Source organism: Homo sapiens, chromosome 6, assembly GCF_000001405.40.
Source record: "Homo sapiens chromosome 6, GRCh38.p14 Primary Assembly".
Taxonomy (NCBI): domain Eukaryota; kingdom Metazoa; phylum Chordata; class Mammalia; order Primates; family Hominidae; genus Homo; species Homo sapiens.
In genome coordinates, this window is record NC_000006.12 from 18,198,309 (window position 1) to 18,210,567 (window position 12,259).

The window sequence follows — 12,259 nt, forward strand, 5'->3', positions numbered from 1 at the left end:
TGTAAAAAAGTTTCTGAAATACTCAGTTCTAAGTTTTTTTTTTAAATCTATTTATTTATTTTGAGACAGTGTTATGAGACTGGCTAATTTTTGTATTTTTGGTAGAGACGGGATTTCACCATGTTGGCAAGGCAGGTCTCAAACTCCTCAGTTAAAGCGATCTGCCTGCCTTGGCCTCCCAAAGTGCTGGGATTACAGGTGCGAGCCACTGTGCCCGGCCTCCAGTTAAATTTTTTTATGCCCGTCAAAAACGCCCTTTGCGGAGCTTGCAGTGAGCCAAGATTGCGCCACTGCACTCCAGCCTGGGTGACAGAGCGAGACTCCATCTCAAAAAAAAAAAAAAAAAAAACAAAACGCCCTTTGAATCTCATTTCAGACATGACCCACTGCTCCAGGCCTAGCACATGTTTCAGTTGATTGTTTATTTCAGTATTAGATATTTGGGCCAAGGTTATTTGAGTTTTACTTGGGAAACCTACAGATTATATTACAAGGAAGGTTATTAAAATCCAAAATCTAGGCAGGCTAGTCTTTAATGTTCAGCCTTCCTCTTATACTAAAAAAAAAACTAGAAATGGGCTGGGCACAGTGGCTCAGTGCCTGTAATCCCAGCACTTTGGGAGGCCGAGGTGAGGAGATCGCTTGAGCTCAGGAGTTTGAGATCAGCCTGGGCAACATGGCAAAACCCTGTCTCTACCAGAAAAAAAAAAAAAAAAAAAAAAAAAGAAAAAAACAGAAAATTAGCCGGGCATGGTGGTATGCACCTGTGGCCCCAGGTATTCAAGAGGCTGAGGTGGGAGGATCTCTTGAGTGAAGGAGGCAGAGGTTGCAGTGAGCCGAGATCTAGCCACCGCACTCCAGTCTGGGTGACAGAGTGAGACCCCAACTCAAACAAAAACTAGAAATGGATGGTTCTGTCAGAGAAAGAGGGTAGAACTACAAGGTGCAGCCTTCCTAGTTAGAGAAAGTGAAGAATGTAAGTTTGAGAAAGCAGTTTGGAGAATCAATATTCCTTTCCGCCCCATCCCCAAGTGATGGGGGAGATACCCAGGAGACCCTCCATTCCCGCCATGGGAGGGAAATAGATTCCTCTGAGTAGCCTGAAAGATGGTTAACTTGGGGAACCTCTCCTTGAGAATTTCAAGTAGTTTCTAGAGATCCAGAAGTGAAAGACTGGCCCTGCGATGAATAGGACTCACATTTTCAGGTAATGCAGCTCTGGGAATGTGGCACTAGGCATCCAGGGCTGCAGGTGACGTGCTGCCTGTGCACCCAAGAGCAGCTTCTCATGCCACCAGCATTAGAAATTTGGGGGCAATAAAATAGCCTGGGTATGAGACAGACCTCATTAGGCCAAGCCCATGAAGTAATATTTATATGGAGTGGCATACTTTTTTTTTTTTTTTTTAAATAATATATCTTAGGGAAGTTAAAGCTTATTTGCAGTCCTAAAGGAATTTTGCTATGTAGATATTTCTTAGGAAAAATCACCTAAAGAAGTTTTTAACTGCTTCTTATGGAATACTATTTTATAAAAAGCTTTCAAAGTACATTTCATGTACTAGTTCATTAAATCTTTTTGTTTTTTGAGACAAGGTCTCACTCTGTTGCCCAGGCTGGAGTGCAGTGGCACAATCTCTGCTCCCTGCAGCCTCCACCTCCAGGGTTCAGGTGATTCTCGTGCCTCAGCCACCTGAATAGCTGGGATTACAGGTGCATGCCACCACACCCGACTATGTATTTCTGGTAGAGACAGGGTTTCACCATGTTGGCCAAACTGGTCACAAACTCTTGGCCTCATGTGATCCTCCTGCCTCGGCCTCCCAAAGTGCTGGTATTACAGGCATGAGCTATCGCATCTGGCCTAGTTCATCAAATCTTAGTATCTGGTTTGAGTGATTCTTTCAACAGACCACTCAGTTTTTCCTCGCTAGAGTCTAGATGGATTGTTTTGAACATCTATTTTGGCTTCTCTTCACACTGCCTGCTTTTTAAAGTTGTTTTTTTAGAAATATTTGGAATTAACCAAATATAGAGGCTATTTAACAGTGTCCTTCTACATTTTTATAATACTGTGTCTGATATAACTCTTGTGTCCTATTTAGCTTCCCTGACTGTCTGTCTTTTTAGGTGACTGTCCTGGAAGCCAAAGACAGAATTGGAGGCCGAGTCTGGGATGATAAATCTTTTAAAGGCGTCACAGTGGGAAGAGGAGCTCAGATTGTCAATGGGTGTATTAACAACCCAGTAGCATTAATGTGTGAACAAGTGAGTTTCTTTTAGCTTTGTGTTGTAGATAAAGGAAAGAAAAACAGTTTCAATTTGCTTGTGTGCAGTATTAATATGCTTCTAAAGTAAATTACATATAACAGCCCCCTCATCTCCTATGCAAAGCAGTAAGAATTACACTTCTGCCTTTCTGAGAAGGTAGAACTAGAGGATGTAAAATACTTTTTTTCCTTTTTCTAAGCTATTTAATTTTATTTCCTTGTTCTTTGCAGGCCACTTGGTTATCTCATAATTTTAGAGTTGCCAGATTTAGCATATAAAAATCCAGAATTCTCAATTAAATTTCATTTTCAGATAAACAAGTAATTTTTTACCCAAGTATTTCCCAGTATTACATGGGATATTTTACATGCAATATTTGGGACATACTTATACTTAAAAAAATTATGTATTACTAATCTGAACATCATATTTAAGGAGGCAGCCTGTCTTTAATCTGGCAGTCATAGAGAGTTTATTTGAAGAGTTGGTAGGCCCAAGACTTTTTCTGAAATGTTTATTGATGGTCAATTCAATTTCAACTTCTGCTATGAGTGTTTGTGTGTTTGTGTGTTCATTTACATGAGGGTCCACAGAGGAGACAGAATGTTTGAGCAAGGACAGGCAGTGTCTAGCATCTGAAACATTAGCCAAAAAGTTACAATGGGCATGGCGTAGGAGCTGTTGCTGCCCCTCTCACATTCTCATCAAATAAAATCTTGTAGATTTCATGCTGTTTTTTTTCACTGCCTGACTTTGCTGCCATTCCCCGTGAAGCATATTTAGCTTTATTTTTGAGAGATATGAGACCATTTTCTCCATGAGAGCTCTGTCTGATTTTCAGCTTAGAACCTGTAAATATTTTTTTCCAGGGAAAATTTTCACCTTCTTATTCTTATTATTTTGAAGCTTGGCATCAGCATGCATAAATTTGGAGAAAGATGTGACTTAATTCAGGAAGGTGGAAGAATAACTGACCCCACTATTGACAAGCGCATGGATTTTCATTTTAATGCTCTCTTGGATGTTGTCTCTGAGTGGAGAAAGGATAAGACTCAGCTCCAAGATGTCCCTTTAGGAGGTATGGGGAGAACGGTGTTCTGATTGTTCCATCTCAGTTTCGTTGTTACCTAAGCTTCATCAGCAGTGGCATTGTTCATTTGCGAGGTCGGATGTCGGCAACAGGGTAGCCCTCCTGAGCATTTCTTTTGGACTGATGGATTCTCCAAGTTCTCAGGGGAGGAGAACTTTTTGTAGGGAGGCTTAGATGCTTGTGTTGTGTACACACACACACACAGACCTTACTTTACACAATAGCTGGTGTTTTACAAAATTACCTACGTGTTTAATTTTAAATTTCCCAGAGTAGCTTACTTTTATGGGAACATGTGGTAAGCCCTGTGTGATAAATCATCACCCTGTAATGTCTTTTCTAGGTAAGGGTTTGTGTGTGCCAGGATTTCTTTTTGTTGAGCAGTGAGTTAAGGTTTTTTCCAGTATATTTTAAGAATGCAAGAGTATTACAGTTTAAGAATTTTAACCCATTAGGCACAGTGGCTCACACCTGTAATCCGAACATTTGGGAGGTCAAGCGGGGAAGATCACTTGAGTCCAGGAGTTCAAGACCAGCCTGGGCAACATAGTGAGCCTTGTGTCTACAAAAAAAAAGGGCGGGGGGCAAGCATGGTGGTGTGTGTCTGTAGTCCCAGCTACTCGGGAGGCTGAGGTGGAAGGATAGCTTTGAGCTGAGGAGGTTAAGGTTCCAGTGAGCTATGATCCCACCACTGCACTCCAGCCTGGGCAATGAAGCAAGACCCTATTTCAAAAAAAAAAGGAATTTTAATTCAAAATCTTTTGGCTTTTGTACTTAAATGGGCAATATTAGCCACAACTATTTAGAAAACTTGACCATCCATAGTGGCTCATTTTCACGAGGGTGCCAGCTTAAATTTTACTGTATTGCTTCTTAAATTGATATTTATTTGGCCTACAATTTTGTGACCTGAATGTATTCACTTGTAGTTCTTGGAGGCATGTTGGAGTTTCTTGTAGTGTGAACATTGGAACTCAGTTTGCAAGGTGTTAATTTGCTTCAACTGTATGTTTCTTTGCAAGAGCTCTCAATTCTTCAGGCTGATATACAGTTCATCTCTGTTTGGGGTAAACTTCTTAGTAGCAGGGACTATGTATCTCTTCTTTTTCTCTTTTCCCTTCCCCTCTCCTGTGGCAACCCACCACCTCTAGGAGACCTATGCTGTAATCGTCCTTAGTAAGTTTTGACTGATATACTACAAGAGAACATTTTCAGAAATATACTCTCGTCAACAGGGATCATTTAATCAAATGTTGTAGTGTCCAGACTAATTCGTAAGTTGTTAAATTTCCTGGAGTTGAGAACAGTTATTAGGCTGACGTGCAGGATATTCTCAGGACTTGGTTAGTGTTTTGTACCTGTGTTGCAGTCACTGGCTGGAGTTTTCATTACATGTCTTTCAGAGTCACCATATAAAAATGTTTAATGATAATGCTTTGCCTTACCCTTACCTAGAACAAGCTGTAGGCCAGGCATGATGGTGTGTGCCTGTAGTCCCAGCTACTCAGGAGGTGAGAGGATCGCTTAAGTCCAGGAGTTAGAGACTGTGGTGAGCTGTGATCTCGCCACTGCACCTCAGCTTGGGTGACATAGTGAGACACTGTCTCACAAACAAAACAAATAAAAAACCCAAGTTGTTAAGGTAGGCTCAGCAATTCTTACTGTGTAAGTGGGTATTTCATCTTATCAATAGCTTGTTTAAAAGCTTTGATAGTAGTGCACACATCTCTGTGTAAGGCTATAGTTATATCCTGCCTGTTGGTATCTTAGCTGTCTGAGATCTCATCTTACCAGCACAAAGCTGGGGAAACTCAAATCTAAATACTAAGGGACTAGATTTCATTTCAGAAAGCATGTGCACTAAAGCTGTTTTAAATATTATTTACATAAAAATCACACTGTGCTGGGCGCGGTGGCTAACGCCTGTAATCTCAGCACTTTGGGAGGCCAAGGCGGGTGGATCACCTGAGTTCAGGAGTTCGAGACCAGCCTGGCTAACATGGTGAAACCCTGTCTCTACTAATAATACAAAAATTAGTCGAGCATGGTGGTGCATGCCTGTAATCCCAGGTATTTGGGATGCTGAGGCAGGAGAATCACTTGAACCTGGGAGGCAGAGGTTGCAGTGAGACAAGATCAGGCCATTGCACTTCAGTCTTGATGACAAGCGAAACTCCGTCTCCAAAAAAAAAAAAAAAAAATCACATTGAGGCCTCTCTCAGTCTGTTTATACACTATCTTAGCAATCTTGGTTTTTCTCCCCGCCGCCTCCACAAAACCAACAGGAATGTAGAAACTGCACAGCAGGAAGCGGGGATGGGACTTCTACAAAAGTCACAGAAAGTGGCACAAAGCCCAGGGGTCTAGGAGCAACAAAGACAGGCACAAATCTGGAGGCCTCTTGGGCATCCGCATGTTACAATCTAGTGCAAGAACTGAACATTTTGATGAAAGCCTTGAGCTGTTCTAAAAAAAAAAATATTTGAAGTAACTGATACTCAGTTCTGCTTCTAGTCAGAGAAGTGTGTGACACTCTGTTAAACTTGGGATTACACCTGTAATCCCAGCACTTCGGGAGGCTGAGGTGGGTAGATTTCTTGAGCTCAGGAGTTTGAGACCAGCCTGGGCAACATGGTGAAACCCATCTCTACTAAAAATTCAAAAATTAGCTGGGCATAGAGGCGGGCGCCTGTAGTCCCAGCTACTTGGGAGGCCGATTGCTGGAGCCCCGGAAGTTGAGGCTGCAGTGAGTCGGAATGGCACCACAGCACTCCAGCCTGGGTGACATGGTGAGACCCTATCTCAGGAAAAAAAAGAAAAAGAAAACACCACCAGAAAAAGAAACGTGGAGTCTGTGATACATGTTTTGGATGGTTGTCATCACTGGAACAGTTGTAAAGAAGTAACCTGTACTGAGATGCTTAGAATTAGTCAGACATCAAGCCAGAACCCTCTTCCAGCCCTGCTATAAAGGAATGTAAGACAAAAATGATATCACAGGGCTGTGTCCATATAGTTACAAGGTCCGGTTGAGTGGGACAGATAAGTAAGGGCTGGAGTTGATGACAGGGAGAAATTCTGGGGGCTTGCCACGGCCCGGTGATGCCCGACTATAAAGAATGGATGGGATTGGGTGGGAGAAGGCATTCCCATGAGGGAGAGTGGGAGGTCGCAGACCCTGCAGGGTAGGAATTTACCAGGAAAAAGATTCAAAGCATTACAGCAGAGCCTGCGAGTGGGCAGATCGTAGCTGCTGCCTTTGGAAAGATTAAAATGTGCTAGCTTTGCCTGGCTGTGGTTGGGGAATTTATTACATAGGCAACCAGTAATTGTAGATATGGAGGCGGAGTGCTGACAAGATACAAGCCCATAATGGAATATTCTTGTTTGGGACAGACTGTAGCCAATAGGTTACAGGTCTCTTAGTTGAGGTGAGATGTTGTAAGCATTGACTTTAAGGTGATGGCAGCAGGACCAGAAAGAGAATGGTAACTTCTGTGTGTGTGCATGTACATCTATGTGTGGGGACAGTTTTTCTGTATCTTGAGCAAAAGAGGAAACCACTTCTCAACGAAGCGAAATTGAGACGTTTCTGAAGATATAGAACTTACATAGCTTTGTTTCCGGTTGTGCACATGTACCCTAAAACTTAAAGTATAATAATAATAAAATTAAAAAAAAAGATAAACTTTCTCTTCCTGAGAGAAATGGACCTTATCAAGAGATCTTTTCCCCTCTGACTTTACTTGGGAAAAGACTTTGGAAGTTTTGGGTGTTGCTGGGTGACAGAGGTTGAAAGCAAAGGAGAAAGAATTGGAGAATCTTGTTAAAGCTATTTTTTTCTGCTTTGATCCATTCCCATTACAGAAAAGATAGAAGAAATCTACAAGGCATTTATTAAGGAATCTGGTATCCAATTCAGTGAGCTGGAGGGACAGGTGCTTCAGTTCCATCTCAGTAACCTGGAGTACGCCTGTGGCAGCAACCTTCACCAGGTGCGCTTGGGTTTTGTGAAAGGTGTGCTTTGAAAATACTTGGTTTAGGCCGGGCGCAGTGGCTCACGCCTGTAATCCCAGCACTTTGGGAGGCCGAGGTGGGCAGATCATGAGGTCAGGAGATCGAGACCATCCTGGCCAACATGGTGAAACCCTGTCTCTACTAAAATACAAAAAATTAGCCAGGCCTGGTGGCGCATACCTGTAGTCCCAGCTACTCGGGAGGCTGAGGCAGGGGAATCGCTTGAACCTGGGAGGCGGAAGTCGTAGTGAGCTGGGATCGCGCCACTGCACTCCAGCCTGGAGTCTCAAAATAAATAAATAAATAAAATACTTGTTTTTGTGTATGTGTGTGTGTGTTTTGTGTGTCTAAATATTGAATTTGAGCTGGTTTCGATAAACAGGAAAGAATGATTCTCCTTAAAAGTTTGAAAACCATGACTTCTGAGCATATTAACCCCACAGTGGTTTTGGTTGTTTTTTAAACTTTTTTTTTTTTTTTAAGCAAGAGAAACTCTTCTTCAGATAATGCTTGTGAAAGAAGCTCAATACGTAAAAACAAAGGAAGAGGCTGGGTGCAGTGGCTCCCTTCTGTAATCCCAGCACTTTGAGAGGCCAAGACAGGCGGATTGTTTGAGCCCAGGAGTTCAAGACCATCCTGGGCAACATGGCAAAATCCTGTCTCTACAAAACATACAAAAAATTAGCTGGGCTTAGTGGCATGTGCCTGTAGTCCCAGCTAAGTGGGAGGCTGAGGTGGGAGGATTGCTTGATCCCAGGAGTTCAAAGCTGCAGTTAGCTGTGATGGTGCTACCACACTGCTGCCTGGGCGATAGAGTGAGACCCTGTCTAGGGGGAGAAAAAAGAAATCAATCACTCCAAAGGAAGGAGGGCTATTGGGCTGAATCAGATCAGGGTCTCTTATGTTTTTCTTATTTTTTGTAGAGATGGGGTCTTGCCATGTTGCCTAGTCTGGTCTTGAACTCCTGGTCTCAAGTGATCCTCCTGCCTCGGCCTCCCAAAATGCTGGAATTACAGGCATGAGCCACTGCACCAGGACTTGTCTCTTTACCGTCCTTTCCCTGCCCTCTGCAGAGGGCCTTGGGTCATTTCTGTGGAACCGTGGAGTCGGAAACACTGCTCTCGAGAAGCCAAAATAGAGTATCCTTGCAAGTCTGGTCTGTTTACCTTGTTAAAGTAAATTTAAGCTTGCCTAACTCATTTAACCAACTGTGAACTTAATACCCCAGTATTCTGTATTTTGAATAGAACTCCACGGATGATTTCAGAGGCCCCTTTGGGACCTCTCCATTTCCACTTGGTTCTGCATTGTGATTGGAGTCATGCTATTTTCCAAAATCGTGCAGGGTTTCTATTCTGTAGAGCTTCCATGTTGAGGACAGATAGCATATTTATATATGTTGATCAAATACAGTTTTACCCTCATAGAATTCTACTTTGCCAGAGTTGTCAATATAGAAAATCAGCTTCTATTTTTATCAAGGAGTGGTACCCATGTCCAAGTCATATGGACCTTTTGTTCTCAAATAAACTTTCCTCAAATAAAATTATCGAGATTTCCTCCCCCAGTGGTGGTCTCTGCCTAGGCTGGTCTGCCTGTCCCCTGCCCTCCTGCCTTGGTGGCTGTTCCCACCTGGAGCTCCTCATATTGGCTCTCAGGCACAGGCACAAGGATTTACACTGCTGTGTCCCCAACCTCTCTTGTTTCCCAGGTATCTGCTCGCTCGTGGGACCACAATGAATTCTTTGCCCAGTTTGCTGGTGACCACACTCTGCTAACTCCCGGGTACTCGGTGATAATTGAAAAACTGGCAGAAGGGCTTGACATTCAACTCAAATCTCCAGTGAGTATCAACTGCTGGGAGGCTCTGGCTCGCCTTGTTTGGGGAGGATGTGAAGTTCTGGGCATGCGGCTCACGCAGGAGAATGGGGCTGGCTTTGGTGTTTAGCCAGGGTCTAGAAGTACTTTTGTGGCTCATTCGTAGCCTGTGTAGCATTATCCATGTCAGTGAGGCAGCTGCTGCTGCTTGGAAACCGTAGTGGCCCCAGTGCATTTCTATTAAGAAGAAGGTATTCAAATTGCTTCGCAACTTTCCTAACCCAGTGCAGTTATTTTCACTTTAAAATTTTCCCTTCAAATCTTTGTCTCAGTGCATTTGTATTGTGTGTTATTGTAATCATGGGGGTGATTACTTAACTGTATTTCCCTTCACACCATATTATAACTATCTTCTATATTCCGACACAATGTTTATTTTGTATATTCTGACAGAGTATAAATTCTAACTCCCTCAGTTCAGCTATAACAATTGTTTAGATCTCTGAATGCCAGGAAAAGATTCCCCTTAGCCTTGGAGATGTAAATTCATGTAATATGAGAATCGGAAAGGATCCTGGATCACGTGGTTCCATCCCTCACTTTTTTTCATAATTGCTTTTTGAGCAGGTGCAGTGTATTGATTATTCTGGAGATGAAGTGCAGGTTACCACTACAGATGGCACAGGGTATTCTGCACAAAAGGTAAGAGCTAGGGCAGTACAAGGGTGGGTAGAAACCTTTGCTGCCAGGGGCTTGGAGGGAAGGACAAATCTTTCCTATCAAGGAGTTTGCCTTTGGGAATCTGCCTGGACCCTTGTTGGATTTCTGGTAAGTTATGTATCTCTACTTAATTGTATGTAGATATGCAAAGCTGATTTCATTGCTCTAACACTGTATAGACTCATGGCAGATGGAATTCTGAATTGTGTTCCTTGAGGTGAGTTCTAGGGCACATTAGTCCTGAGAGTTGAACAAGAAAAAAAATTCCTTGGCCAAATAAGTTAGGCAAGGCCAAGTAAGTTTGGGAAGTATTGTATACGATACTCTACTTTTAGGATTAAATAGGAGTTGTATAGGGTTAAATAGAAGTATGTGTATGTATATATATATATATATATATATATTTTTTTTTTTTTTTTTTTTTTTTTTTTTTTTTTTGAGATGGAGTCTCGTGCTGTCACCCAGGCTGGAGTGCAGTGGCGCAAACTCGGCTCACTGCAAGCTCCGCCTCCCGGGTTCACGCCATTCTCCTGCCTCAACCTCCCAAGTAGCTGGGACTACAGGCACCCGCCATCACGCCTGGCTAATTTTTTTTTTTTTTTGTATTTTTTAGTAGAGATGGGGTTTCACCCTGTTAGCCAGGATGGTCTCGATCTCCTGACCTCATGATCCGCCCGCCTCGGCCTCCCAAAGTGCTGGGGTAACAGGCGTGAGCCACTGTGCTCCGCCCAAATAGAAGTATATTAAAGGCTCTGAGAAGTCCTGCATTAAAGAAATCTATTTTACTTTTATTCTGTGCTCTCCACATTTTTTTAAACCACGGAATCCTTCTTCAGATCAGGAAAGTTCTGTTTTCATCTTGAAATCTTGAAACTATCAGAAGTACTTTCATATGGCTTAAATTTTTTGTAAACAGCTTTATAGTAGGTGAACAGTACAAGGTACTGCTGAATCAAATACCTGAAATCACACTGAGATTTATAGTATTGGAGAATAAAGGTGCCTCCTTGGGGTAGAGGGGATTTAGTAAACCTTGAAAATTTAAGTTTAGTTATATCTTAAGTGACTATGAAAAAATATAATTGATGAACTATCACTAGTTCCTAGACTAGCTATGCTTCCTACACTTCAGGTATCTAAAACTTATTTCATAGTCCTTGATTTTCATACAGAAGTAAAGGACTGCATGTCACATGGGAAAGACAGGTCTAGGGAATGAGTTAGTCGGGGCAGGGGATCCTAACATTATTCCTGCCATTAACCAACTCGGAGATCTTGGGCAGCAATCCCCGGGCTGCACGTCGGAACCACCTGGGAGGCGCTTACAAAGAAAGGCTGGAAAGCCCCACCCTGATGCGTTCTTGTTGAATTGGCCTCGCTTTTTTGTTTGTTTTTTTCAGAGACAGGGTCTCAGTCTGTCGCCCAGGCTGGAGTGCAGTGGCACAGTCATAGCTCACTGTAGCCTCGAGCAACTGGGTTCAAGGGATCCTCTCACCTGAGCCTCCCTCGAGTAGCTGGGATTACAGGCATGCACCACCATGCCCGGCTAGTCATGTTTTTAAAGCTTCTCAAGTGATTCCAGTGTGCAGCCGTGGTTGAGAACCTTGTCTGCAGTGACCTTTTCTGTAAGCTCTTAATAGGTTTTGCCTGGTGGTAAACAGTGTTTAAAAATACTACCTTTTAAAATTGCAAGTCACCCGACAGTTCAGCCTCTGCTGTTCTGTAGCTCCACTTCTTGGTGTCCAGGACAGCAAGCTGGTTTTAACTCCCCTGCTTTGTTACTCTCTGCCTGACCCTGGCCAGTACTTGTGCGTTTCTGTGTTTGTATTCCAGCCTTCTGGAGAAATTAGGGCACAGCTTCAGGCTGCACTTTGAAATGTTTAAAACAAATATTTTTATTGTAGCTAGCACGCACCACAGTTTGCATTGGAAGTTTCCCCAAACTTGTAAGAGAATAATTTTCAACCCAACGTGATAGACCGATGAACCTCCAGCAGACTAACTCAGTCTAGGCTGCTTCCATTGACATCTCGCTTTTATTACTTACTAGGATGTGTTTATATCATTTGCCTATTTGTTTACCCAAGGCTTTTCTTTCTTTTTTTTCTCTTTCTTTTCTTTTTTTTTTTTTTTTTTTTTTTTTTTTTTGTTTTACAGGGTCTTATTCTGTTGCCCAAGCTGGAGTGCAGTGGTGCAGCTTGTAGCTCACAGCAGCCTCGAACTCCTGGGCTTGAGCAGTGCTCCCACCTCAGCCTCCTGTGTAACTGGGACCACAAGCACATGCCACCACACTCAGCTAATTAAAAATTTTTTTTTTGTAGAGACAGTGTTTCCCTATGTTGT

At 42.7% G+C, this 12,259-nt stretch overlaps 1 protein-coding gene across 29 annotated transcripts in view; it reads left to right on the forward strand.

Annotated features, from left to right (window-relative positions):
• KDM1B (lysine demethylase 1B) overlaps nucleotides 1–12,259 on the forward strand; it is a 68,433-nt gene that overhangs the window by 42,887 nt on the left and 13,287 nt on the right. For 14 of the 29 annotated variants that reach the window (NM_001439118.1, XM_047418357.1, NM_001364614.2 and 11 more), the window contains 5 exons: nucleotides 2,131–2,268; nucleotides 3,178–3,349; nucleotides 7,229–7,356; nucleotides 9,090–9,221; nucleotides 9,824–9,898. In NM_001439118.1, the coding sequence (NP_001426047.1) occupies nucleotides 2,131–2,268; nucleotides 3,178–3,349; nucleotides 7,229–7,356; nucleotides 9,090–9,221; nucleotides 9,824–9,898 (645 nt within the window). Of the gene's footprint in view, nucleotides 1–2,130; nucleotides 2,269–3,177; nucleotides 3,350–7,228; nucleotides 7,357–9,089; nucleotides 9,222–9,820; nucleotides 9,899–12,259 lie in introns of those variants that run through there. The other 15 variants (NM_001439117.1, XM_017010445.3, NM_001439119.1 and 12 more) reach the window with 4 other exon arrangements.